The 26,285-nt window shown below is 48.4% G+C and overlaps 1 protein-coding gene across 4 annotated transcripts in view; it reads left to right on the top strand.

Moving 5' to 3' along the window:
• CLSTN1 (calsyntenin 1) overlaps nt 1-26,285 on the top strand; it is a 95,601-nt gene that overhangs the window by 67,083 nt on the left and 2,233 nt on the right. The window contains exons 3-18 of one of the 4 annotated variants that reach the window (NM_001009566.3): nt 934-963; nt 2,135-2,330; nt 5,763-5,971; nt 7,531-7,680; nt 7,798-7,983; nt 12,801-13,049; nt 13,439-13,560; nt 16,188-16,350; nt 19,890-19,946; nt 21,402-21,559; nt 21,829-21,977; nt 22,270-22,496; nt 23,302-23,472; nt 23,898-24,043; nt 25,548-25,683; nt 26,054-26,238. In NM_001009566.3, the coding sequence (NP_001009566.1) occupies nt 934-963; nt 2,135-2,330; nt 5,763-5,971; nt 7,531-7,680; nt 7,798-7,983; nt 12,801-13,049; nt 13,439-13,560; nt 16,188-16,350; nt 19,890-19,946; nt 21,402-21,559; nt 21,829-21,977; nt 22,270-22,496; nt 23,302-23,472; nt 23,898-24,043; nt 25,548-25,683; nt 26,054-26,238 (2,534 nt within the window). The remainder of the gene's footprint in view (nt 1-933; nt 964-2,134; nt 2,331-5,762; nt 5,972-7,530; nt 7,681-7,797; nt 7,984-12,800; nt 13,050-13,438; nt 13,561-16,187; nt 16,351-19,889; nt 19,947-21,401; nt 21,560-21,828; nt 21,978-22,269; nt 22,497-23,301; nt 23,473-23,897; nt 24,044-25,547; nt 25,684-26,053; nt 26,239-26,285) is intronic. The other 3 variants (NM_014944.4, NM_001302883.1, XM_047449470.1) reach the window with 3 other exon arrangements.

Here is a 26,285-nt window from a genome sequence, read left to right as displayed (position 1 = left end):
TGGTGAAACCCTGTCTCTACTAAAAATACAAAAAATTAACTGGGCGTGGTGGCGGGCGCCTGTAGTCCCAGCTACTCGGGAGGCTGAGGTAGGAGAATGGCGTGAACCAGGGAGGCGGAGCTTGCAGTGAGCCGAGATCACGCCACTGCACTCCAGTCTGGGCGACTGAGCAAGACTCCATCTCAAAAAAAAAAAAAAACCTTTTGCTCCAAATTTTTGTTTCATTAAATCTACTGATGAGTTGAATGTTACCAGAATCTAGCTGAGAGAATTTAGGTTGGAAATGAACATCTGAAAACTGCAAAATAACAAATAGATGTACTTATTCATGGTTTGTCACTAGAGTGTTCATTAAAAGAAAAATCCTGCCGGGCACGGGGGCTCACTCCTGTAATCCCAGCACTTTGGGAGGCCGAGGTGGGCGGATCACGAGGTCAGGAGATCGAGACCATCCTGGCTAACATGGTGATACCCTGTCTCTACTAAAAATACAAAAAATTATCCGGGCGTGGTGGCGGGCGCCTGTAGTCCCAGCTACTCGGGAGGCTGAGGCAGGAGAATGGTGAACCCAGGAGGCGGAGCTTGCAGTGAGCCGAGATAGCACCACTGCATTCCAGCCTGGGTGACAGAGCGAGACTCTGTCTCAAAAAAAAGAAAAATCCTAATGACCCCTGAGGGTGTTAGGACACTTCATGTAGGAGTATTTCATCCCTAAATTAATAACTTCAGAATTATGCAGTAGTTCATGGTAAGTTGGATTCAAAGTGACATTTTGTTCCTGAAGATTAGGTTTTGCTGTAGCAATCGTAGAAGCCGGTCGCTGAGCTTGGTGTGGAAATGTGTAATATGTGCACCTTTGACTTTTTTCCTTAGTGTATTCCATCTTCATTCTTTCCTGTATTACTGACATGGGCTTATCTTTTCTCCCTTTAGAGAGTTTTGAGGTGACAGTCACCAAAGAAGGTGATAAAGGGTTCTTTCTTCCCCTCTTATGAATATTAACCCACTAACTTTGTTTATAAAATTGGGAATCAGCCCTTAAACAGGAGAAACTGTCATGCTCTTTTATCCTTATTTATTCTCCTACTTTGTTTCTATTTTAAAGTATATTGATGGAAATTGTATGTAACCAGACCCTTGGTTAGAAATATCTGGAAATCAGACATCCATTTGAACTGTATGGATAACACTGTACATTTTTGTTTAATAGAACTTCAGAGATTTGCTTTATAACAATTTTCTATTAGTTGGAATTGTGGAAGGAGTGCAGTCTTATTTTCATGTGAAATACATTTTGTGGAGTTTCACATCGACATCAAAACATTTATACTGTTCTCCCATGGACAAGAATGGAAACATAGATTTTTAACTCCTAATTAAGTTGTGAGCCAATTTAGATGTAGAGAAGTTCCCAGGCTGGTGTCTTTTTCAGGTTTGATAGGATAAAGTCCGAAACAAAGGCAAGTCTAGCCAGTCCCTCCCATAATAGAAACTGTGTCTGAATCGTAGATGATAAAATAGCTGTTGAAATGGATGCCTGACGAGTCGGTATTTCTACCTTTCTCATTGAGTAGTTTGTTTTGATTCCCTAATTTTAGCCAGGCTCATTGCACAGGAAGACTTGTTTCCTTTGATTTTTTTTTTTGACAGAATTTCTGTAATTACGGTGCTGATCCTATATCTCACGCTTCCTCCTCTCTCAACACATAACTGCGTTTTAGCTTCTCTCTGGTCCAAATCAAACTGGCTGCCAGCCCTCCCAGGAGCTGGGGCAGCGCTGGTGTTCTCAGGCCTGGCTGTGTGCTAATGAGACTCCTTTTACCCTCGAGCTATCTAAGTGCTCCTGTGGAATGCCTGTCTATATTTTCTTCTCTCTCTCTTTTGTATTCCTGCATGAATGGATGCAAAGTAAACAAGTTGCTTGGAAAGCCAGAATCTGCTTCATCTTACTAAAGCCCGAGAACTTCCCCATGTTTAAAACACAGTGCCCCTGCTTTGTCCACGGACCCTCCAAACCCCTGGCTGCCAAATTGTTGTCATTTATTTTCTTTGGGGGTGGAGATGGGGGGAGGAGGGCAAGGTGCAGAAGATCTATGTGGTAGGAATTCTTACCTGTTCTGCTTTGACTCCCTAGGTGAGATTTGTGGATTTAAAATTCACGGGCAGAATGTCCCCTTTGATGCAGTGGTAGTGGATAAATCCACTGGTGAGGGAGTCATTCGCTCCAAAGAGAAACTGGACTGTGAGCTGCAGAAAGACTATTCATTCACCATCCAGGCCTATGATTGTGGGAAGGGACCTGATGGCACCAACGTGAAAAAGTCTCATAAGTAAGTAAGCTGGACAAAGAGTGAACATAACCCACCGAGTAAACGTGTGTGCGCAGAACGAAAATAGTAGTGACTATTGCCTGCTCCCCAAGACTGTTTTTGAAATAGGCAGAAGATAGTTCTCAAGTGTCTACAATTAGATTGTAAACACTTGGAGGGCAGGAATCATGTCTCTCTACCCTTGTATACAGTTTCTAGCAAGAGCCTTGCTCACATTAGGCATATTAGGTTTTTTGGGGTTGTTTTTGTTTGTTTTTTGAGATGGAGTTTTGCTCTTGTTGCCCAGGCTGGAGTGCAATGGCATGATCTTGGCTCGCCGCAACCTCCGCCTCCTGGGTTCAAGCGATTCTCCTGCCTCAACCTCCCACATAGCTGGGATTACAGGCATGCGCCACCACGCTCAGCTAATTTTGTATTTTTAGTAGAGATGGGGATTCTCCATGTTGGTCAGGCTGGTCTCAAACTCCCGACCTCAGGTGATCCGCCTGCCTGGGCCTCCTAAAGTGCTGGGATTATAGGCGTGAGCCGTACCTGGCCTTTTTGTGTTTTGTTTTTGAGATGGAGTTTCGCTGTTTCACCCAAGCTGGAGTGTAGTGGCACGATCTTGGCTCATTGGAACCTCCGCCTTCCGGTTTCAAGTGATTTTTCTGCCTCAGCCTCCCGAGTAGCTGGGATTACAGGTGCCTGCCACCACGCCTGGCTAATTTTTGTATTTTTAGTAGAGACGGGTTTCACCATGTTGGCCAGGCTGGTATCAAACTCCTGACCCCATCATTCACCTGCCTCGGCCTCCCAAAGTGCTAGGATTACAGGCGTGAGCCACCACACCCGGCCTAGGTTTTTAATAAATGAATGAGTGAATAATTTTATCACACCAAATACTCTATTAAAGAAGTAAAGGCCCTACATTAAAAATTGAAAAAGTCTGCTTCTCCCTTAGGAAGGTTATTTTGTTGTCATATTTATCTTTTGCTGTAATTCCTAAGGGCATAAACTTAATCATTGTTGGCCAGGTGCAGTGGCTCACACCTATAATCCCAGCACTTTGGGAGGCTGAGGTGGGAAGATTGCTTGAGCCTAGGAGTTTGAGAGCAGCCTAGACAATGTAGGAGATGCCATCTCTACAAAACATAAACAGCCAGGTATGGTGGCACATGCCTGTGGTCTCAGCTACTTGGGAGGCTAAGGCGGGAGGATTGCTTGAGCCCGAGAGGTTGAGGCTGCAGTGAGCCATGATTGTGCCACTGTACTCCAGTCTGAGTGTCAGAATGAGACCCTGTCCCTAAAAAACAATAACAACAAAAATTGGCCAGGCACGGTGGCTCACGCCTGTAATCCCAGCACTTTGGGAGGCCGAGGCAGGCAGATCACCTGAGGTGATTTTCACCTGAGGTCAGGAGTTCATGACCAGCCTGGCCAACATGGAGAAACCCTGTCTCTACTAAAAATACAAAATTAACCAGGCATGGTGGCACGCGCCTGTAGTCCCTGCTTCTCGGGAGGCTGAGGCAGGAGAATCACTTGAACCTGGGAGGTGGAGGTTGCACTGAGCCAAGATCACATCATTGCACTCCAGCCTGGGCAAAAAGAATGAAACTCCGTCTCAAAAAAAAAAAAAAATTAGTCACTGCTGGTGGAAGTAGGCTGGCTCGCTGCCACAATCCTGAGTGTGTTGCTGCACCTCCTGCCAGTTAGGAACTGCAGTTGTAGCAGAGAGGGCTTTGGACAAGACAACATAGAACAGGGGTCGCCATACCTCAGGACGTGGGCCAGTACTGGTCCGTGGCCTGTTAGGAACCAGGCCACACAGCAGGAGGTCAACAGCATGTGAGCGAGTGAGCATTTCTGCCCGAGCTCCACCTCCTGTCACATCAGCAGCGGTATCAGATTCTCACAGGAGCGCGAACCCTGTTGTGAACTGAGCATGCCAGGGATCTAGGTTGTGCGCTCCTTATGAGAATCGACTGCCTGATGATCTGAGGTGGGGCATTTTCATCCCAAAACCATCCTCCCACCCCCATCTGTGGAGAAATTGCCTTCCATGAAATCAGTCCTTGGTGCCAAAAAGGCTGGGGACTGCTGGTGTTCTCAAGTCCAGTGTCTTCTACAATTAGATTGTAAGCTCTAGTCTTTTCTAGAGCTCTAGTCTTTTCTCCACCACTTGCTAGCCCTTTGGCATTGTGCAAATTTAATTTTGTTGAGTCTGTTTCTTTTTCTTTTGTTTTATTTATTTATTTATTTACTTATTTTTTGAGGCAGAGTCTCGCTCTGTCACCCAGGCTGGAGTGCGGTGGCACAATCTCGGCTCACTGCAACCTCCACCTCCAGGGTTCAAGCGATTCTCGTGCCTCAGCCTCCCAAGCAGCTGGGATTACAGGCACGCTCCACCACACCTGGCTAATTTTTGTATTTTTGGTAGAGACGGAGTTTCACCATGTTGGCCAGGATGGTCTTTAACTCTGACCTCTGGTGACCCTCCTGCCTCAGCCTCCCAAAGTGCTGGGATAGGTGTGAGCCACCACACCCGGCCCTGAGTCTCAGTTTCTACTTAGCACATCTACTAAAGAAGGGTATGTGGGCGAGATGGTGTCACATAACCCATTGTGAGGGTCAGACCGATGGCACTGGGATGAGGAGGCTCATGGTGAGCAGAAGGTGCAGTGCCCCAGTGAGTCTCTTCTCTTTTTCCACAGTGTAATGTTATTGTTTCCCTTGAAAAGGTCAGATTTTGACCAAAGTCCTTGACTGATTCAGAAGCATGCCCTGACCATTAGCCCTTGAAACCTACAGTTTTTTTTATTTGTAGCCAGGTCTGATGACACCCTAATTTTCTTGATAACTGAGCTGGGGTATTGGCAGGTGGCAACGGCCTGCCTCTCCTGAACTCTTCCATTTGTTGAATCAGGACCAGGTGATGCCATGGACTCCAGCCTATTCCCTAGAAGTAGGACAGAATTCGTTTGAACTCTCAGAATCAAACCATTTCATGCTTTCTCTGTTTCATACCCCTTCTTCCCTTGGCTCTATTTTTTTTCTGGATTTTGCTACAAAATATGTTTCAACTTTATAATTGGAGAGCAAACAGACGTCTGGTATTGTTTATCTCCCTTCTGCCTGTCTTGTCCCATATTGTCAAAAAAAAACACCCAAGTCTCTTTTATTTTAGATGATTGGTTTTTTGCTTTATTCTTAGGATATGGAAGAATCGACCCAAATCCCTCTTTTAACTTTCTGTTATCTCCACACTTGAATGAAAAGCAGTGAATAGCTTGTTTAATTTTTGACTTCATCATATGAATTTCATGAAACAAGGTATCAGAAACAGGAAATTTTAAAGTAGGGCAGAATTGGGTAAACACACATACACACTCTCTGTCTCTCTCTCACACTGAAAACAAGCAGAAAAATATTTTTCTCCCTCCCTTTGTCCAGAGCAACTGTTCATATTCAGGTGAACGACGTGAATGAGTACGCGCCCGTGTTCAAGGAGAAGTCCTACAAAGCCACGGTCATCGAGGGGAAGCAGTACGACAGCATTTTGAGGGTGGAGGCCGTGGATGCCGACTGCTCCCCTCAGTTCAGCCAGATTTGCAGCTACGAAATCATCACTCCAGACGTGCCCTTTACTGTTGACAAAGATGGTAAGAATCGAGGAGCCGGCTTTTCAGCTAGGTAGACAGTCCCTGCTAACCCCACTGACTTTACACCCCAGCTTCTGTGCTTCGTCAGAACTTCATGGAACTCACAAGTTGGAGACCTAACCTGGTGTGTGTTTGCTTTTAATTGTAAAAACATTTAAGTTTCTACTTTGTTCCCTGACAACTTCTTCTCTGGAACCTGTAAGTCCTGTGTTCTCTTGTGGGGCTCACCTCTTTTTTGCTTTCCCACCAAAATCAAATAAAAATCCTCCTACCTGACATGGCTTTGTTTTTTTAATCTTCTTAACTTTCAGTCCACATGCATCTGAATGAGACTGACCTTTACATTTAGTTTGTCTCATTTTCTGTTCTCCATTAAGTTTTTTGTTTTTGTTTTTGTGGTTTTTTTTTGAGACAGTTTCTCACTCTGTTCCCCAGGCTGGAGTACAGTGGTGCGATCTCAGCTCACTGCAACCTCTGCCTCCCGGGTTCAAGTGATTCTCCTACCTTAGCCTCTCGAGTAGCTGGGATTACAGGTGCCCACCACCACGCCCAGCTAATTTTTTGTTGTTGTTGTTTGTATTTTTAGTAGAGATAGGGTTTCACCATGTTGGCCAGACTGGTCTTGAACTCCTGACCTCAGGTGATCCGCCCACCTTGGCCTCCCAAAGTGCTGGGATTACATGTGTGAGCCACCGCGCCTGGCCATGTTCTCCATTAAGTTAGAATCTCCTGTGACATCTTTTTTTTTTTTTTTTTTGTTTGAGGGAAGGTCTTGCTCTGTCGCCCAGGCTGGAATGTAGTGGTGCAGTCACTGCTCACTGTAACCTCGAACTCCTGGGCTCACGGGATCCTCCCGCCACAGCCTCGCTAGTAGCTGGGACTGCAGGCACACACCTGTAGTCCCAGCTATTTGGGAGGCTGAAGTGGGAGAATCGCTTGAACCCAGGAGGCAGAGGTTGCAGTGAGCCGAGATCAGGCCACTGCACTCCAGCCTGGGCAAGAGAACGAGACCCTGTTCCAAAAAGAAAAAAAAAGATAATACAGTGTTTCCATTGTTAATCAATGCACGGTCTAGAATCTTTGATGGAATTATGGACATTGCAAACACTTTCCAGAGATCTATACTCACCACGTTCAAAAAGCAGGCTTCTGTTCTAAGCAGGTGGGGGTAGGAAATCTCTCTTTCTTTTAATATAGTAAATGTTTGATCAGCGATCTTATATTTAATATTTGAGGTACTTGAATTATTATTATTTTTTAATCCTCTGAATGTATGTAAACAGTTAAATCTTAATGTAAAGCCCAATGTAACACTGTGAGAGTAAGTGGAGACTGAGCTGTGTAGCTCCGTCTCTTCTGTTGAAACTCTTCAGGATGGATTTAGTGCGTGTTAGGGCTCAGGGAGGACAGGTTGAGGGTTAAGCATCCCAAGCATATGTTTATTTCTGGCTGAGTATTTACAGGGCTTAAAGCCTATGCATTTTGTCTTTCCGCCTAGGACAACAAAAGTAAAACCAGCATGGGTTTTGGCTCTCACTGTTGTTTTTGCCCTCTGTAAGGTTATATAAAAAACACAGAGAAATTAAACTACGGGAAAGAACATCAATATAAGCTGACCGTCACTGCCTATGACTGTGGGAAGAAAAGAGCCACAGAAGATGTTTTGGTGAAGATCAGCATTAAGCCCACCTGCACCCCTGGGTGGCAAGGTGAGCTTCATTCTCTCCCCTGCGCTCACATCTGCTCTTAAAACTGATGTATGCGGCAGCAACCTAGAGTGTGTGTTTTCCTTCTCTCTTCCCCTGCTGACTTGTGGACCAACACAGGATGGAACAACAGGATTGAGTATGAGCCGGGCACCGGCGCGTTGGCCGTCTTTCCAAATATCCACCTGGAGACATGTGACGAGCCAGTCGCCTCAGTACAGGCCACAGTGGAGCTAGAAACCAGCCACATAGGGAAAGGCTGCGACCGAGACACCTACTCAGAGAAGTCCCTCCACCGGCTCTGTGGTAAGGAGACCAGGCGTTCTTGCATCCGGCTGGCTTTGGTGAAGGTGGGAGGGACCTTTACAACTGGAAATACTTGTGTGTGTTGTGTTCATAATTATAAACTGTGACAGAGAATCTGCATTTCTGAAGTGAACTTTGCTGCCTTGCTGGCTAGTTTTCATACTGGATGGGCTTCGGGGGTGGGGCAGGGGGTGGACATCAACTCCTAAACGTCTATTCAACATGTTGTGTATATGTGCATTTTAAGAACCACTGGTGGCCAGATGTGGTGGCTTATACCTGTAATTCCAGCACTTTAGGAGGCCGAGGTGGGAAGATCACTTGAGCCCAGGAGTTTGAGACCAGCCTGGGCAACACAGCGATACCCCATCTCTACAAAAAATTGAAAAATTAACTGGGGATGGTGGCATGGACCTGTAGTTCCAGTTACTTGGGAGGCTGAGCGGGAGGATCACCTGAGCCCGGGAGGTTGAGGCTGCAGTGAGCCGTGATGGCACCATTGCACTCCACCCTGGGCAATAGAGTGAGACCCTGTTTTAAAAAAAGAACCACTGATTTGAAGGAAGTATTTCTCCAGCATACTCTGAGAATCATCCAAAAAGGGCTTCTATAGGAGTACATGGAGTGAGTTTTACATGAAATGAGATGTTTACTTACGAATTGAAGACAAAGGCCAGGGCATGGGGGCTCATGCCTATAATCTTACCACTTTGGGAGGCCGAGGTGGGCAGATCACCTGAGGTCAGGAGTTCGAGACCAGCCTGACCAACATGGAGAAAACCCTGTCTCTACAAAAAAAACAAAAACTAGCCGGGCATGGCGGTGCACGCCTGTAGTCCCAACTACTTGGGGGGCTGAGGGAGGAGGATCGCTTGAGCCCAGGAGGTGGACGTTGCAGTGAGCCAAGATCACGCCGCTGCATTCCAGCCTGGATGACAGAGTGAGAACCTGTCTCAAAAAGAACTGAAGGAAAAATATAGGTAATACAATAGCTTTTGACAAACATGAAGTAGAAAATCAGAACTAAAGATAGCCACATCTAACTTAGAATCTCAATAGATTTTCTATATCACAATATTGTGTGGAGAAATTGAGAGACAGAATTACTGGGAAACCCACCAGAAGGCTAGGTCTCTCTTTACTGTCAGCTGCGGATATTTTTCTGGTTTATCTAAATGAAGAAGAGGTGAGGTATGGATGGCTGTCATGGAAGATGTTGAGGGAAGAACATTTAGTTGACTGGTGATAAAATCCCACTAAATGAAGCAGCGTCTTCATAAATTGGAAGGGTCTTTTGTGTTTCAAAAAGCTTTTGTGAAACAGCTTTTCAGGGAGCATTTTCTTAAACTGATGAGTCTTTTCACTAGCCTGATAACAACCATGAGATTTAGGTTACTGGTTTTCTTTTTTTTTTTTTTAGACAGAGTCTCACTCTGTCACCCAGGCTGGAGTGCAGTGGCGCCATCTCGGCTCACTGCAAGCTCCGCCTCCTGGGTTCACACCATTCTCCCGCCTCAGCCTCCCGAGTAGCTGGGACTACAGGCACCTGCCACCATGCCCGGCTAATTTTTTTGTATTTTTAGTAGAAACGGGGTTTCACCGTGTTAGCCAGGATGGTCTCGATCTCCTGACCTCGTGATCCGCCCACCTCGGCCTCCCAAAGTGCTGATTGCAGGCATGAGCCACCGCGCCCGGCCACTGGTTTATAATTGAAAATTATCCAGATCACTTGAGGTCAGGGGTCTAAGACCAGCCTGATCAACATGATGAAACCCCCGCTCTACTAAAAATAAAAAATTAGCCAGGCGTGGTGCGAGGTGCCTATACTCCCAGCTACTTGGGAGGCTGAGGCAGGAGAATTGCTTGAACCCAGGAGGCTGCAGTGAGCCAAGAGTGTGCCACTACTCTCCAGCCTAGGTGACAAAGCTAGACTTTGTCTTAGAAAAAAAACAATAAATAAGAAGAAAATTATCATGTGGTAAATAAACCAAAGTAGAAAACTAGACATTATGCTGCCACAGTCCAATGATGAGCATATGGGGGTGTTTGGCAACTCTGAATCCAAATATTCATAATTGTCACCTAAATATATTTAAGTAAGGAGGTCTGGCACATTTTCTGTTTTAAACCATGCATGTAAGTATAATATATAAAATTTATTCCGTCTCTCATTTCATGGTATTAAGTGAATTTTTTTTCAGCAGAATAAAGTTAGGAAGAATAGAAATAATTTGAGTGCTTACTATGCACCAGGTACTTTTTTTTTTTTTTTTTTTTTTTTTTTGAGACAGTCTCCCTCTGTCGCCCAGGCTGGAGTGCAGTGGCGCAATCTCACTCACTGCAACGTCTGCCTCCTGGGTTCAAGCGATTCTCCTGCCTCGGCCTCCCAAGTAGCTGGGATTACAGGCATGTGCCATGATGCCTGGCTACTTTTTGTATGTTTAGTAGAGATGGGATTTCACCATGTTGGCGAGGCTCGTCTCCAACTCCTGACCTCAAGTGATCCACCCACCTCGGCCTCCCAAAGTGCTGGGATTATATGCATGAGCCACTGCGCCTGGCCTTACTCCAGGTACTTCTATGTGTGTTTTAGCTTAATGTTCCCAACAAGTCTACGAAGTAGGTGGGTATTGACCTTGTTACAGAGGAATTAAACAATTGAGACTAAAGCAGGTTAAGTAGCTTGCCCAAGCCCACATATTCAGGAGCTGAGGTTCTAGTGTGTGTGTGTGGTTTTTTTTTTTCTTTTGAGACAGAGTCTCACTGTCGCCCAGGCTGGAATGCAATCGTGCTATCTTGGCTCACTGCAGCCTCCACTTCCTGTGTTTAAGTGATTCTCCCACCTCAGCCTCCCAAGTAGCTGAGATTACAGGCATCTGCCATCATGCCTGGCTCATTTTTGTATTTTTGTAGAGACAGAGTTTCACCATATTGGCCAGGCTGGTTTGAACTCTTGACCTCAGTTGATCTGCCTGCCTCAGCCTCTCAAAGTTCTGGGATTACAGGCGCAAGCCACCACGTCTAGCTTCAGGAGCTAAGATTTGGACCAAGGTCTTCTGTTACTCAAGAGGCCAGGCTGGTCCAGCCAAGGCCTGCTGCTCCGAGTAATAGCTTAGTCAAGAAGGAGCTTGCAAAATCTTTTCCTGTGGACAAAAAAAAATTTTTTTAATTTGAACATGGCAATACATAAGAATGGTTGGAAAACATTTTTTATGTTTTTTGACTTAGTAATTTCATTTCTAGGAATTTATTTTAAGGGAATAATCATGGAGACACATAAAGCTGTGCATGCAGGTGAGGTTTATAATAGGAAAAGGTTAGGGACAGCCTCTGTGCCCACCTGGGAGGCTGGTCAGTAGGTGATGCTGTATCTGTACAATGAAATGCTATTCAGGCCGAGCGCGGTGGCTCACACCTATAATCCCAGCACTTTGGGAGTCTGAGGCAGATGGATCGCTTGAGCCCAGTAGTTGGAGACTAGCTTGGACAACATGGCGAAACCCCGTCTCTACAAAAACACAAAAATTAGCCGGGCATGGTGGCACACACCTGTGGTCCCAGCTACTTGGGAGGCTGAGGTGGGAGGATTGCTTGAGCTCAGGAGGTCAAGGCTGCGGTAAACCAACGCTGCACCACTGCACTGCAGCCTGGGCGAGAGAGGAGACCCTGTCTCAAAAAAAAAAAAAAAAAAAAAACAACTATTCAGATAGTTTAAATTACATGATAGAAGAATATTGCTAGGAATATATATGTATTATGCACATACATAGCAGGACTCCACTTTTATTGTATTTGTTTATATATTTTTGAGACAGGGTCGCACTCGCCCAGGCTGGAGTATAGTGGCACAGTCACAGCTCACTGCAGCCTCAACCTCCTGGGCTCAAGTGATCCTCCCATCTCAGCCTCCCAAGTAGCTGGGACTACAGGGATGCACCACCACACCTGGCTAATTTTTGTGTTTTTTGTATTGACAGGGTTTTGCCATGTTGTCCAGGCTGGTCTCCAACTCCTGGGCTCAAGCAATCTGTGTGCCTTGGCCTCCCAAAGTGCTGGGATTACAGGTGTGAGCCACCAAGCCCTGCCAGGACTCCATTTTTCTAAGAAAACGCATCATTTTTGTGTATATTTACCAAAGGAGGACTGGGTGTTTATACTAAAATGGTATAATTTGAATCAGATTACAAGAAATGCTTCCTTTCCCTTCCTTTTTGTTTTTTTTTTTTTTTTTTGAGACGGAGTCTCGCTCTGTTGCCCAGGCTGGAGTGCAGGGGTGCGATCTCGGCTCACTGCAAGCTCCGCTTCCCGGGTTCACGCCTGGCCCTTTCCCTTCCTTAAACAAATCCATGGTTGTTATTTTTATTTTTGTAATTTAAAACCCTGATTTTTGAAGAGAAGTAAACTGAAAGGGCCAAGCGTGGTGGCTCACGCCTGTAATCCCAGCACTTTTGGAGGCCGAGTCAGGCGGATCACGAGGTCAGGAGTTCCAGGCCAGCCTGGCCAACATGGTGAAACTCCGGCTCTCCTGAAAATGCAAAAATTAGCCAGTTTTAATGGGGCGCGCCTGTAATCCCAGCTACTCGGGAGGCTGAGGCAGGAGAACAGCTTGAACCCGGGAGGTGGAGGTTGCAATGAACCGAGATCGCGCCACTGTACTCCAGCCTGGGGACAAAGCAAGACTCTGTCTCGAAAGAAAAAAAAAAAGTAAACTGGAGCCAGCAGATTGCCTAAGTGTAAGACAAGCACGTGCCTGGGGGCTTGAGGTGCGCGGGACCTCTGGCTCCTCACATGAGTTTCACCGAGCACTGTGGCTTCAGGTGCGGCCGCGGGCACTGCCGAGCTGCTGCCATCCCCGAGTGGATCCCTCAACTGGACCATGGGCCTGCCCACCGACAATGGCCACGACAGCGACCAGGTGTTTGAGTTCAACGGCACCCAGGCAGTGAGGATCCCGGATGGCGTCGTGTCGGTCAGCCCCAAAGAGCCGTTCACCATCTCGGTGTGGATGAGACATGGGCCATTCGGCAGGAAGAAGGAGACAATTCTTTGCAGTTCTGATAAAACAGGTAGGGTAATAGCTCTGCAAGCGATGCCAGGCCCCAGTGTCCAGTAGGGTGGGTGCCAGCGGCAGGCTCCCTCTCCTTTCCCAGGGTCCCCTGCCAGCCTGGTGCTCGTAGGCCATGTGCCATGCTGTGTGCCTGGGGCACTTGGTTCCCTAGAGCCACGGCCTGGGCATTTGGGTATTAGCTGTTGTTGCTCAGTGGGGTCCACGGTGATCACAGGCTCCGCCTCTCAGGAAAGCCCAAGTGTATTTGTTTCTAAGCCCTGCCTTGGCTTAGCCGAAGAGTTCATTTATGCAGATGAAATTGTGTCTTCAAAATCCATTCAAGAAACAGCTTTAATTTCTCCTTTGGATCTTTAGTTGGCAATTTACCCATAGAAACTGCCTTTGCAGATATGAATCGGCACCACTACTCCCTCTATGTCCACGGGTGCCGGCTGATCTTCCTCTTCCGTCAGGATCCTTCTGAGGAGAAGAAATACAGACCTGCAGAGTTCCACTGGAAGTTGAATCAGGTGAGTGAATTGAAAACGCACTAATAGGGCCGGGCAAGGTGCTCACACCTATAATCCCAGCACTTTGGGAGGCTGGGGCACGAGGATTGCTTGAGCCCAGGGGTTCGAGACCAGCCTGGGCAACATTACTAAGATCCTGTCCCTACAAAAAAAAAAAAACCCACGAAAATTAGCTGGGCATGGTGGCACATGCCTGTAGTCCTGGCTACTTGGGGAGCTGAGGTGGGATGATTGATGGAGCCCAGGAGGTCAAGGCTGTAATGAGCTGCGATTGTGCCACTTCACTCCAGCCTGGATGACAGAGTGAGACCCCGTCTCCAAAGAAAAAGAAAAACACTGTCATCTTCTAAGAGAGAGTAAGCAGGTACTGCAACCTTGCACATGGATGGCTGTGTATAGTCAGTGTATATTTATAATTTTATGAGTAGCTGGGACTACAGACACATGCCACCACACCCAGCTAATTTTTGTATTTCTAGTAGAGATGAGGTTTCACCATATTAGCCAGGCTAGTCTTGAACTCCTGACTTCAACTGATGCACCCACCTCAGCCGCCCAAAGTGCTGGGATTGCAGGCCTGAGCCACTGTGCCCGGCCGCAAAGCTAATTTTCTAGCAGTTGCTGTGATAGAAAGCAAATATCCTGTGAAAAACCCCACGTGCTACAGGAAACGAGAGAGCACTGTAAAATTAGAACCCTCTATTAAAATCAGAATAGATCATTTTTTCTTTTGATGTAGAGTTGGGATGAGAAGGAAACCTTTGGCCTTATCATCATTTTATTTGTCTCATGGAGTTAGTGGACAAAAGCTGACATATGTTATATGTGCCTGCAGTTGCTAAAATATAATAGTGTCTAAAAATAATCATAGGATAGATAAAAGTAAAAGAGAATAAATGAGAAAGGAAAAAGTATATGATAGTGGAAAGTTGAAGTGGGTGTCCAGTTGGTAGCATTTGTCTCTTTTTTTTTTCCCCCGAGACTGAGTCTCGCTTTGTTGCCCAGGCTGGAGTGCAGTGGAGATCTTGGCTCACTGCAACCTCCACCTCCCGGGTTCAAGCGATCCTCCTGCCTCAGCCTTCTGAGTAGCTGGGATTACAGGCGTGCGCCACCACGCCCGGCTAATTTTTGTATTTTTAGTAGAGATGGGGTTCCACCATTTTGGTCAGGCTGGGTAGCATTCATCTCTTATTGGTGTATTTTTTTATTTATGTGAGTGATTATTTCTCAGAAACTATTACCATTAATTATTTTCAAAAAACTAAAGAAAGGCTTAGTCCTGGAAAAATATTTTGCAACATAGGTGGACATTTTAGCTACAGTTCTGTTATAGTAGCCATAGTCTGCATTTATATATTTAGTTTCTTCTAAGTATATACTGTTTAAAAACTGTATTATGGAAAATTTCAGATTTATATAAAAGCAGACAGATTAAAGAATAGCCCTGTGTGCCCTTATGCCTTCAACAGTTGCCAACTCTTGGTCAGTCTAGTTTCATTGTTACCCCTATTCACTGCTGAAAATTTTTATCACCCCCTCAAACGTTAGTTAATAATTTTCAAGAAATCCCAAATAGAGCATTTCATTCTTGTAGACGCCCGCCTGTATGTCATGATGTATCTCATAGACAAGCATAATCACAGCACTCTTTCACATTAAAAAAAAACCTAACAGTAAAATTTCTAATACGATCAAATAGCCAGTCAATGTTCAGATTTCAAGTAGCCTCATAAATGTTTTTGTGTTTACAATTTGTTTGAGTTACGACCCAGATAAGGGCCCATTGCAGCTGGCTGATGCGTGTTCACACACTCGTTCATCACAGGATGGGAACACAGTTTGGTTTGGGGTGCCCTTGGAGCTGATGTTCATATTTATTGAGATCATCAACTTTGAGTTGGAAAAGAAAATACATGTACTATGGTGTGCCTTATTCTGAGATTAAAGGCACTTTTTTGTCGGCGGTGGGGAGGAGATAGAGTCTTGCTCTGTCACCCAGGCTGGAGTGCAGTGGCACAATCTCGGCTCACCGCAACCTTTGCCTCCCGGGTTCAAGCAATTCTTGTGCCTCAGCCTCCCAAGTAGCTGGGACTACAGGCGTGCACCACCACACCCGGCTAATTTTTGTATTTTCAGTAGAGATGGGGTTTCGATATGTTGGCCAGGCTGGTCTCAAACTCTTGACCTCAAGTGATCTCCTCGCCTTGGCCTCCCAAAGTGCTGGGATTACAGGCCTGAGCCACTGCGCCCGGCCTAAAGGCACTTTTTATTTTTATTCAGAAAAGGAATGGCCAGTGGTAAACTAACTCAACCCTTTCGAGGGTGGGTATCCAGCTTGCCCATACAGGAACTTCCTGGTGCCACACTGTTGGCAGAGCAGAATTGGGCAGCTCCCTACTTGGGCTGTGTCCTCTGGTTAGTGAGCAATGCAGCCCCCGTAGTTTGGAAATGCCCTAGAGATGCTTGGCTTCTTTTGGTGAGATGTATTTGCAGATATTTTGTGGTTAGATTTTTTTCATCCTTTTCCTCCTAGGAAGACCCTTGTGTTGGGTGACTTGGTTTCCATGGGCATTGATGAGAAGGAAAGTGGACATCTCACACCTCCCCGCTTCCCTTTGCCTCTGTAGGTCTGTGATGAGGAATGGCACCACTACGTCCTCAATGTAGAATTCCCGAGTGTGACTCTCTATGTGGATGGCACGTCCCACGAGCCCTTCTCTGTGACTGAGGATTACCCGCTCCATCCATCCAAGATAGAAACTCAGCTCGTGGTGGGGGCTTGCTGGCAAGGTACCTGTCATTACCCCCCGCCCTCGACTCGAGAATTAAGTTGTACCTCTTTACTAGGTTGGTGGCAGCAGGCTGTGATCGGTATCCTACAGCCTTACCCTCGTGTCCTGGATCTTTTCCTTCCATTTCCTGTGTACAGCCTTTTTGGGGACACTGCCGTTACCCCACTCTAGCTAGCATAGCTCTGTCTGTAGGTGCTCCATAAAGGTGATAGGACTGACCACACCGTCACCTTTCCCGGAAACCCAAGAGGGAGCGTTCCACAGAGGGAGCGTGTAGTGGGGGGAACTGTTTTATAAATTAATCCGTTTATTGAAAGGTTCACAAGGACAAAGAGGCAACAGCAAGAGTCAGGCACAGAAATAAAGGACGCAGAAGTAGAAGTGCGCCTTGGACCTGGAGGACTCTTCCAGAGTGTTTATCACTTGGTGACCTGGTAGGAGGGCTGCGAGGGCTCTGTTCACCCTCAGCAAGGGCCACGTGTGGGGAGGATTCCATGGAAGTCTCTGCTGAGAGGGGATATGATAACCACCAGAGCACCAGTGCTTCTTACCTGTACTTACCAAGTGGCAGGCTGTGTGCCAACTCCTTTATACACGTTGTCTCACCTAAACCTTAGAATCCCTTTTTTATAGCTGAAGAAACTCAGGCCCACAGAAGCAGCAAGCCAGGTGTCACCCAGCTGATGAATCAGGAGCCAGGGTTTTGAATTTTTTTACTTTGAGAAGCCTGTGGGCCAGGCGCGGTGTCTCACACCTATAATCCCAGCACTTTGGGAGGCTGAGGCGGGCAGATCACTTGAGGTCAGGAGTTCGAGACCAGCCTGGCCAACGTGGTGAAACCCCATCTCTACTAAATATACAAAAATTAGCCATGCATGTTGGCATGTGCCTGTGATCCCAGCTACTCGAGAGGCTCAGGCAGGAGAATCGGTTGAACCCAGGAGGCAGAGGCTGCATGAGCCAAGAATGCCCTATTGGCCGGGCGCGGTGGCTCACGCCTGTAATCCCAGCACTTTGGGAGGCTGAGGTGGGTGGATCATGAGGTCAGGAGATCAAGACCATCCTGGCTAACACAGTGAAATCCCATCTCTACTAAAAATACAAAAAATTAGCCAGGCATGGTGGCGGGTGCCTGTGGTCCCAGCTACTCGGGAGGCTGAGGCAGGAGAATGGCGTGAACCCAGGAGGCGGAGCTTGCAGTGAGCCGAGATAGCACCACTGCACTCCAGCCTAGGTGACAGAGCGAAACTCCGTCTCAAAAAAAAAAAAAAAAAAAATGCCCTATTGCACTCCAGCCCGAGCAACAGAGTGAGACCCTGTCTCAAAAGAAAAAGAAAAACCTGTGTATTCTGGGCCCACACTCAGACCCACCAGATCAAGGTTTTTATTATTGTTATTATTTTAATTTTTTATAAAAATGGGGTCTCACTGTGTTGCCCAGGCTGATCTCAAACTCCTGGGCTCAAGAGATCCTCCCACCTCAGCCTCCTAAAGTACTGGGATTACAGGCATGAGCCACTGCGCCTGGCTCAGACCTGGGGTTTTAAGCCCTTTTTTGTGCCATGGAGCCCTTGGGTGGTCTGGCAAGGCCAATGGATCCCTTCTTATTAATCTACAAAATAAATACATAGGATTCAAGGGTAATCAGTTAAACTGAAATATAGTTATTAACATCCTGAAATACTACATTTGTGAAACAGTAACACCAGTGGTACTTTATGTTAACAAATGAAGAACCAGCTTTAGCAGCAGGTCCAACAGTGGTGTAAGTTCCAAGTTGTGAGGGCTGTGCGAGGATCCCTGTGGCATCTGCAACAGCTGTGGCCTGGTGTGCAAATATCAGTGCATTCTATTGGTGACAAAGTTGCAGTCATTGCTAACTGCTGTGGTGTGTAGCCTACATTTATTGCCAAAGGAAATGCTGAATTTCAGAAGTTAGTGGAAATAAGCATGTAATTTTTCCCATCCAAGTTCATGGAACCCTCAGGTTACCCCAGAGGTTCATGATTCCCACCTTGACCCTTGCACTGGACTCTGCTGTGTCATTTCAAGGTATCATCATCATTAATTACTTTTTGATTAGTTTTTTCTCCCTATGGAAACATTGTACCTTGAGTAAGGTTAGAAATTTATGAAAGATGACCGTGCGCAGTGGCTCACACCTGTAATCCCAGCACTTTGGGAGGCGGTGGCAGGCAGATCACTCAAGGTCAGGAGAATTTCGAGACCAGCCTGGCCAACATGGTGAAACTCTGCCTCTACTAAAAATACAAAAATTAGCCAGGCGTGGTGGCGTGCGCCTGTAATCCCAGTTACTTGGGAGGCAGGAGAATCACTTGAACCCAGGAGGCTGAGGTTGCAGTGAGCCAAGATCACACCACTGCACTCCAGCCTGGGCAACAGAGTGAGACTCTATCTCAAAACAAACAAACAAAAAAACCCCACAGATTGTTTAAAATTCAGTTAACAGGAGAGAGGATCTCCTTTTCTTTTTTGTGGTTGATTCTGCCACTTTTGCTACACGTTGGCCGTGGAGAGCTTGGGCTGTGGGCAGCAGCTTCATTCCCTTCTACCAGCGTGTTGTGGGGGAGTCTTGGTGTGTGTGGAGGTAGCACAGGCCCGTGGCTCACATGGGCTTCACCTGGATACACCTCTAGCCTTGCCCCTTGATGCAGCCCCGCACAGCCGCAGCCCAAAAGGGGCCCTAGCACACCATAGAGGGGAGGGCTGCAGGGCTGCAGGGCTTGAGGAGTGGCCTTTCCCCTCAGCATGACCTGGAGAGTGTTGGTTCTGTGCTTAGCCGCTGTGTGTGTGCCTTTCTGGTAGGTTGTATTACTCTGTACACTGGATCCAGGAGCTAGAGGAGCTGAAGGTGGTGAGGGTCCCCAGGTCCACCGTAGGCTATGCTTCCCTAGGTGGGTTCCTTAGCCTCTGCATCTCCCTCTCATTCAGAAAAAGTGATTGAGAATGTCTTCTTTCCTCTGTCGCCCAAAGGTTAATGGCTAGACAGATGTAAACTTGTTTGGAGCTTCCAAAATATACAGACTTCCGCATGCTTACTGTGTACCAGGCTTGGGACACGTGTGTGCTATGCCTTTTTGTCTGCGCAGTGTCTTCCCTATTAGGAGAAGAGGTGCTGTTGGTCCGGAACTTGGTGGTGTTTATATCGGGAGCAGCATTGCAGCCCAGGCTCAGCCTCTGTGGAGTGTCCTACTTCATAGCACGGATTGGGGAGGGGAACGAATTCCATGTGTGTGCTTTCATTCATCTTATTTTGAATCTAACATATGTTTTGGCAAGGAGGATGTGGGAAGGTGGAACAAAAGAAGCCTGGGGTTGGGGGTGGTAAAGTCACTTCTGGGAAAAGGTGATTAAATACAAGCTTGCGTCCAGATGGGTACATCCCAGAGCGGGATCACGAGGGAATTTTCTCTTCATGTTTTATAGTTGGTTGCTTCAAACCTGGTTTTCAAGGTCCGGTTTGAAGACCCTAACCTCTCAGTCCTTTTCTATTGTCTTTGTCTTGCTTTTCCACAGAGTTTTCAGGAGTTGAAAATGACAATGAAACTGAGCCTGTGACTGTGGCCTCTGCAGGTTGCTGGATTTTTTCCCTACATTCACTATTGTGTTTCATTTAAAGATGAGACTGATTCATTCCACGTGTCGCATGAAACGCCCCAGTTGCATTTTGGTCCTGGACACCATCTGAGCTGCTTCCCTGCATTGCGCTTCCCCATTGCTTCATGGAGTTCCCTTATTCTGCCCATTCTGACCCCAGCTGGAGTGAGGACAAATGACATCTCAGGCAGTGCATGCATGGGACTTCCCCCCCCATCCAGTTTGACCCTGACCCCACTGCATGAGGCTCCCTGCTTTTTCAGTCTTACAGGCAGGGTTTGGGAGGCCGCCTCGTGACTGTCATGTGGATGAACCACGAGACAGGAAAAGACTTGTTTCTAGATATTCTGTCCTGATTGACAGTAAATTTTAAATAGACGTCTCTCTTTTTTTTTTGTTTTGAGATGGAGTCCCGCTCTGTTGTCTGGGCTGGAGTGCAGTGGCGCGGTCTTGGCTCACTGCAACCTCCACCTCCTGGGTGCAAGCAATTCTCCTGCTTCAGCCTCCCAAGTAGCTGGGACTACAGGCATGCACCACCATGCCCAGCTAATATTTATATTTTTAGTAGAGACGGGGTTTCGCCATGTTCGCCAGGCTGGTCTCAAACTCTGACCTCAGGTGATCCACCCGCCTCGGCCTCCTGAAGCGCTGGGATTACAGGCGTGAGCCACCATGCCTGGCAAATAGCCGTTTCTTAGAAACCTCAATTCCTAGTCATGATTTACAGTGCCTGATTTCTGTACCAGAATGAGACACATTGCTGAAAATTTGTCCCTTTTCCTTTTCAGTTTAAGAACAAGGTTTAGTGTAACCTGTTTCTGGCTCTTTGTTGTCATCTGTCAAGGGCCATTTTCTGGGTTTTGGTTTTCGTTGTAACATCTGCACTTCTCAGCAATCCTCAGGAGGAGGCAGGAAGGATGGGACTTAACACCATAGCATCCTTGAAATAGGCCGTTCCATGCAGGGAGTATTTTAAGCCTCCCTTTTATCCTCCCTGCCTCGCTTGTGTGGGTTCATTCCCCAGGGCGTGCCAGGTAGAGAAAACAGCCATGTGGAACCCAGCCAGCTGAGAAGGCAGTGGCTGGAGAGGCTGGTGGCGTAGGAAGTGTCACCATGCACCCTGGTGATGAGAACAGGGTAGGCCACCTTACCAGGTAGTGGCCAGAGGTGTGGGGACCCTCAGGGGACCTCTTGGCTTCAGGTGAGACACCCCCAACTCTCCCTTTCTCCAGGCCATGTGCATGATCATAAACGGTTTAATTTCTTCATTGCGCTTCCATGTAGATTGCAAGGCTAACAGGACTTGGTATGAACTAACCCGCATGTCCATCCACTGAGCTGCCAGCACCGGTAACACCGTGTTGAGTGAGAAGTGAGTTGGGCGATGCTGGGTTGCACGCCTGACTTCGCCTTTTCTCCCCTGACCCAAAGGTGGCGACCTGCACATGACCCAGTTTTTCCGAGGCAATCTGGCTGGCTTAACTCTCCGTTCCGGGAAACTCGCGGATAAGAAGGTGATCGACTGTCTGTATACCTGCAAGGAGGGGCTGGACCTGCAGGTCCTCGAAGACAGTGGCAGAGGCGTGCAGGTAACACCGAGCGCTCGACTGCACACCACTCATGGGCCCCTTAGACTACAGCCCCGGAGGCTGGTGGGATGAGGGAGTGAGTAATCTGTGATTGATACGTTTACTGTTGGGTAAAAGAGTTGTGTTCACTGGACTTAAACGAGCTTTTCTTTTTCAAGTCAGCAATTCAAATCGAACCCAGGCCAGTCCCCTTTGTGGAGGCATCTGTGGTTTCAGCTCCTGCGGTTACTGGCTTATTCTTCTCCTCTCTGTGGCTGGTGTGATTTCAGATCCAAGCACACCCCAGCCAGTTGGTATTGACCTTGGAGGGAGAAGACCTCGGGGAATTGGATAAGGCCATGCAGCACATCTCGTACCTGAACTCCCGGCAGTTCCCCACGCCCGGAATTCGCAGACTCAAAATCACCAGCACAATCAAGTACGTCCTGATTTTTAACAGCCGGCCTGTTTTGCCCAATGACACTTGTATATTTAGGTTTTTAAGACAGCCTAACCCCTTCTGTAAGGAAAGGTGAGCCATCGTGTGTAACCAGAAAGTGTGGGGCAGAGAGCTGAGTGATATTTACGCATCTTGTTTGCAAGTGTGTTCCTGGAGTGGCCCCGGCAGGTGTTAGTGGGGGCCTCTGTATCCCACCTCCATGTGCCTTTGCACAGGTGGGCTCCAAGATCGGCTCCCAAAGCCCTGACCCTTCCCCATTTCTTGCTGGCAGGTGTTTTAACGAGGCCACCTGCATTTCGGTCCCCCCGGTAGATGGCTACGTGATGGTTTTACAGCCCGAGGAGCCCAAGATCAGCCTGAGTGGCGTCCACCATTTTGCCCGAGCAGCTTCTGAATTTGAAAGCTCAGAAGGGGTGTTCCTTTTCCCTGAGCTTCGCATCATCAGCACCATCACGAGAGAAGTGGAGCCTGAAGGGGACGGGGCTGAGGACCCCACAGGTAATGTGCTCTGTGGGGCGCGGGCTCCCTCGCCTCGGCCGGAAACCCCATTGTCCCCATGTACTTGGCGGGGCTCTTTGTCTCTGTGGGATTTGGGGAGGTTTTAATCTTTCGTTGGTGTTCTCTCGGGTGTGCTTCTGGAATCTGACCCGTGAGCTGGAGCTCATGGTGATCTCTGGAATCCCATCTGGAGGGGTCTTACATCTTTTCCTGGTTGCTGCCAGGCTTTGAGATGTGGCTTGAGGTTGAGGGGTTGAGGGCACTTACGGGAGACACTGCTTGCACCTGCCAGGCTGGCCAGCCCATGGAGGCACAATGTCCCCACAATTCTTGCTCAGGACACATGAAACTCCCCCCCTTTTTTTTTTTTTTTGAGATGGAGTCTCACTCTGTCGCCCAGGCTGGAGTGCAATGGTGTCATCTTGGCTAACTGCAGCATCCACCTCCTGAGTTCAAGCGATTCTCCTGCCTCAGCCTCCCGAATAGCTGGGATTACAGGGACCTGCCACAACGCCCGGTTAATTTTTGTATTTTTAGTAGAGACGGGCTTTCACCCTGTTGGCCAGGCTGGTCTCAAACTCCTGACCTCAGGTGATCCACCCGTCTTGGCCTCCCAAAGTGCTGGGATTACAGGCGTGAGCCACTGCGCCCAGCCGTTTCTTGAAAGCAACTCTCGCTTGCTTCTGTCGTTGGTCCTTACGAGAGCCATGTAGGTTTGGGGTGAGCCGGCAGGGCATCCAGTGTGCCCCGCCACGCTGGGCCCCACTGCCCCTACTTAATATTTCTGGTTGGGCCTCTTTTGCAGTTCAAGAATCACTGGTGTCCGAGGAGATCGTGCACGACCTGGATACCTGTGAGGTCACGGTGGAGGGAGAGGAGCTGAACCACGAGCAGGAGAGCCTGGAGGTGGACATGGCCCGCCTGCAGCAGAAGGGCATTGAAGTGAGCAGCTCTGAACTGGGCATGACCTTCACAGGTAAGGGGAGCGCTGCAGCCACGCAGGTGGGCCAGGCTGCAAGAGGGGACTTTGAGAGCTCTTGGCTGGCTGCTGCCTGCCATCTGAGAATGTTGAGTTATCTTAGAGGGAGATGGGGAAGGAGCACGTTCGCTGGGATCATTGTTGGCTGCACGCATACTCCTGTCTCCTGGACAGGTACCGGATGTGTAGCCACTACTCTCTAAAGGGGGAGGGTTGAGGCGTGGGATGACACGTCCCCCACAGAGGGAAGAATGCCCCTGTGCACATTGCATTTATTCCCATGGCTAGAAAGCCAACTTGTGTGACCCCTTGGCCTAGCTAACCTGGGTGTCTAATTGAGCCTGCCTGTGCTGACGGCTGCAGCCCTGCCCATGCTCCTGCCCTAAGCCACCCGGCAATCTTCCCCCTTTCAACCCCTGCAGGCGTGGACACCATGGCCAGCTACGAGGAGGTTTTGCACCTGCTGCGCTATCGGAACTGGCATGCCAGGTCCTTGCTTGACCGGAAGTTTAAGCTCATCTGCTCAGAGCTGAATGGCCGCTACATCAGCAACGAATTTAAGGTGGAGGTGAGTACAAGGCTCCCACTGAGCAGGGCCAATAGCAGCAGTGAGTGAGGGCGCTGATTTGCAGCCCTAATATTCACAAACGCCAACCTCAGAGCATTCATGATGGCAGCTATACAGGCTCATTCTAGGGGGTCGCCTTTCCAGCCTGGGGCCTGCTGCAGGTTACACCTGGGCTTGTTGGAGTGACAAGTTGTGTTTGGGGTGAGCTGGGGTGGGGGGTGCTCCCCTTTCCCTGGCTGCCTCAGCCTGAGTTGGAGCCTAAGGAACTTTGCAGGGAGGTGACAAAGAGCAAGTGGCAGTTAATGCCTCTGGGGCTTCTTGAGATTTCCCATGAGAGAAACAGGAGGATGTGGTTTTATTTATTTATTTATTTTTAGAGACGAGGTCTCACTATGTTGCCCAGGCTGGTCTTGTCCCCCCAGGTTCAAGCAATCCACTTGCCTTGGCCTCCAAAAGTGCTAGGATTACAGGCGTGAGCCACTGTGCCCAGCCAAAGACACTGTTTTAGAAAGAGCAGCATCCAGGGAACCAAAAGTTCTCTGCATCTGTGCCAGGTCACTGGCCCTCCTGTGAATGAAGTCGAGTCCTCGGCCCAGGTTGAGAGGGGCTCACGCAGGGACCCGCACGGGCAGGACCAGTGCTGCTGAGGCTGGCGCTGGTGACTCACAGGCCACACAGGCTAGAGGGTAGCTCCTCCTGCTCTGAGGTCGTCTACAGACCTATCCAGCAGCTGCTTCATCGCTCAGGCTCTCTGTGGCCTGGAGAAAATTGACCCAAAGTTACTCTTAGCAATGGAATATCACCATGAACTCAAGAGCAGAATGCTAAATTCGGTGCCTGTTTTGTTTGAGTCAAAGGGTAAGAGATATGAAAGGAAATCCATGGCAGTGATTGGTGCTGTCTTTCACACGGCTGTGATTTGAGGAAAAAGGTCTACGCCAGTGCTTCCCAAACGACCCATGGGGAAGGACCATCGGCTTCTTTTTCTGCTCTTGTTTTGGGCATAATCTTTTATAAAATGCAATAAAAATGGATTGCAGCCAGGTGCGTGGTGCTTGCCTGTAGTCCCAGCTACTTGAGAGGCTGAGGTGGGAGGATTACTTGAGCAGGGAAGTTCCAGGCTGCAGTGAGCCGTGATCATGCTTGTGAATAGCTACTGCGCTCCAGCCCGGGCAACACAGCAAGACCCAGTCTCAACAAATACTAATAAGTAGAAAAGTGATACATTTCTGGAATGTGTGAGAATATTAGATTGTTATAGCAGTTTCTAAGTGCTTATTACTCTTTTTTGTTTGGTTTTTGTTTCTTTTTCTTTGTTTTTGTTTTTTAAGTGCTTACTCTTGATTTTTTTTTCTGTCCTTTTCCCGTAGCTCCGTTTGCCCCCAGCTGCGGTCCAGGAGCCACTCTGAGTGGCACTGGTCATGCCAGCTGCGGGACTCCACTGTCACCTCTTGGACAGGCTCAGGATGCCTGTCTCCAGCGATCCTCTCTTTCTCTGCTATAGGTGAATGTAATCCACACGGCCAACCCCATGGAACACGCCAACCACATGGCTGCCCAGCCACAGTTCGTGCACCCGGAACACCGCTCCTTTGTTGACCTGTCAGGCCACAACCTGGCCAACCCCCACCCGTTCGCAGGTAGGACATGGGGAGGGAGACCAAGCGGAGATGCTCCATGCCGTCCGCCCTGCCCCCACCCCACCGTGGGCACAGCCTCCTGCTCAGCATGACCGCCGGTCTTTCCCTGTCCCAATTATTCCCCATCACACACAAGGAAACTAAAGCCCTCGAAGAGGGCAGATGATGTCACCCGCAGCCATGGAGCAGGACGTGGCCGAGCCAGGTTGGAGGCCCATGGCGAGCTTTTCCTGGTATTTCCTCCTGGCCTGTGGGTTCAGCTGAAGCGTGCTGTCCAGCCCGTTTTGACCAGGCACAGCCGAGGAGGTCAAGGGCACAGTGGCCTTCTGGGCCGAGTGACCTCGCATCCCGCCCCCTCATTCTCCCACAGTCGTCCCCAGCACTGCGACAGTTGTGATCGTGGTGTGCGTCAGCTTCCTGGTGTTCATGATTATCCTGGGGGTATTTCGGATCCGGGCCGCACATCGGCGGACCATGCGGGATCAGGACACCGGGAAGGAGAACGAGATGGACTGGGACGACTCTGCCCTGACCATCACCGTCAACCCCATGGAGGTAGGAGTGGGCGGGCGACCTCCAGGACTGAGAGGCAGCACAGGCCA

This window comes from Homo sapiens, chromosome 1 (assembly GCF_000001405.40).
Source record: "Homo sapiens chromosome 1, GRCh38.p14 Primary Assembly".
NCBI classification, from domain to species: domain Eukaryota; kingdom Metazoa; phylum Chordata; class Mammalia; order Primates; family Hominidae; genus Homo; species Homo sapiens.
The sequence above is the reverse complement of the archived record's forward strand: the minus strand, read 5'-3'. Positions and strand labels throughout refer to the sequence as shown.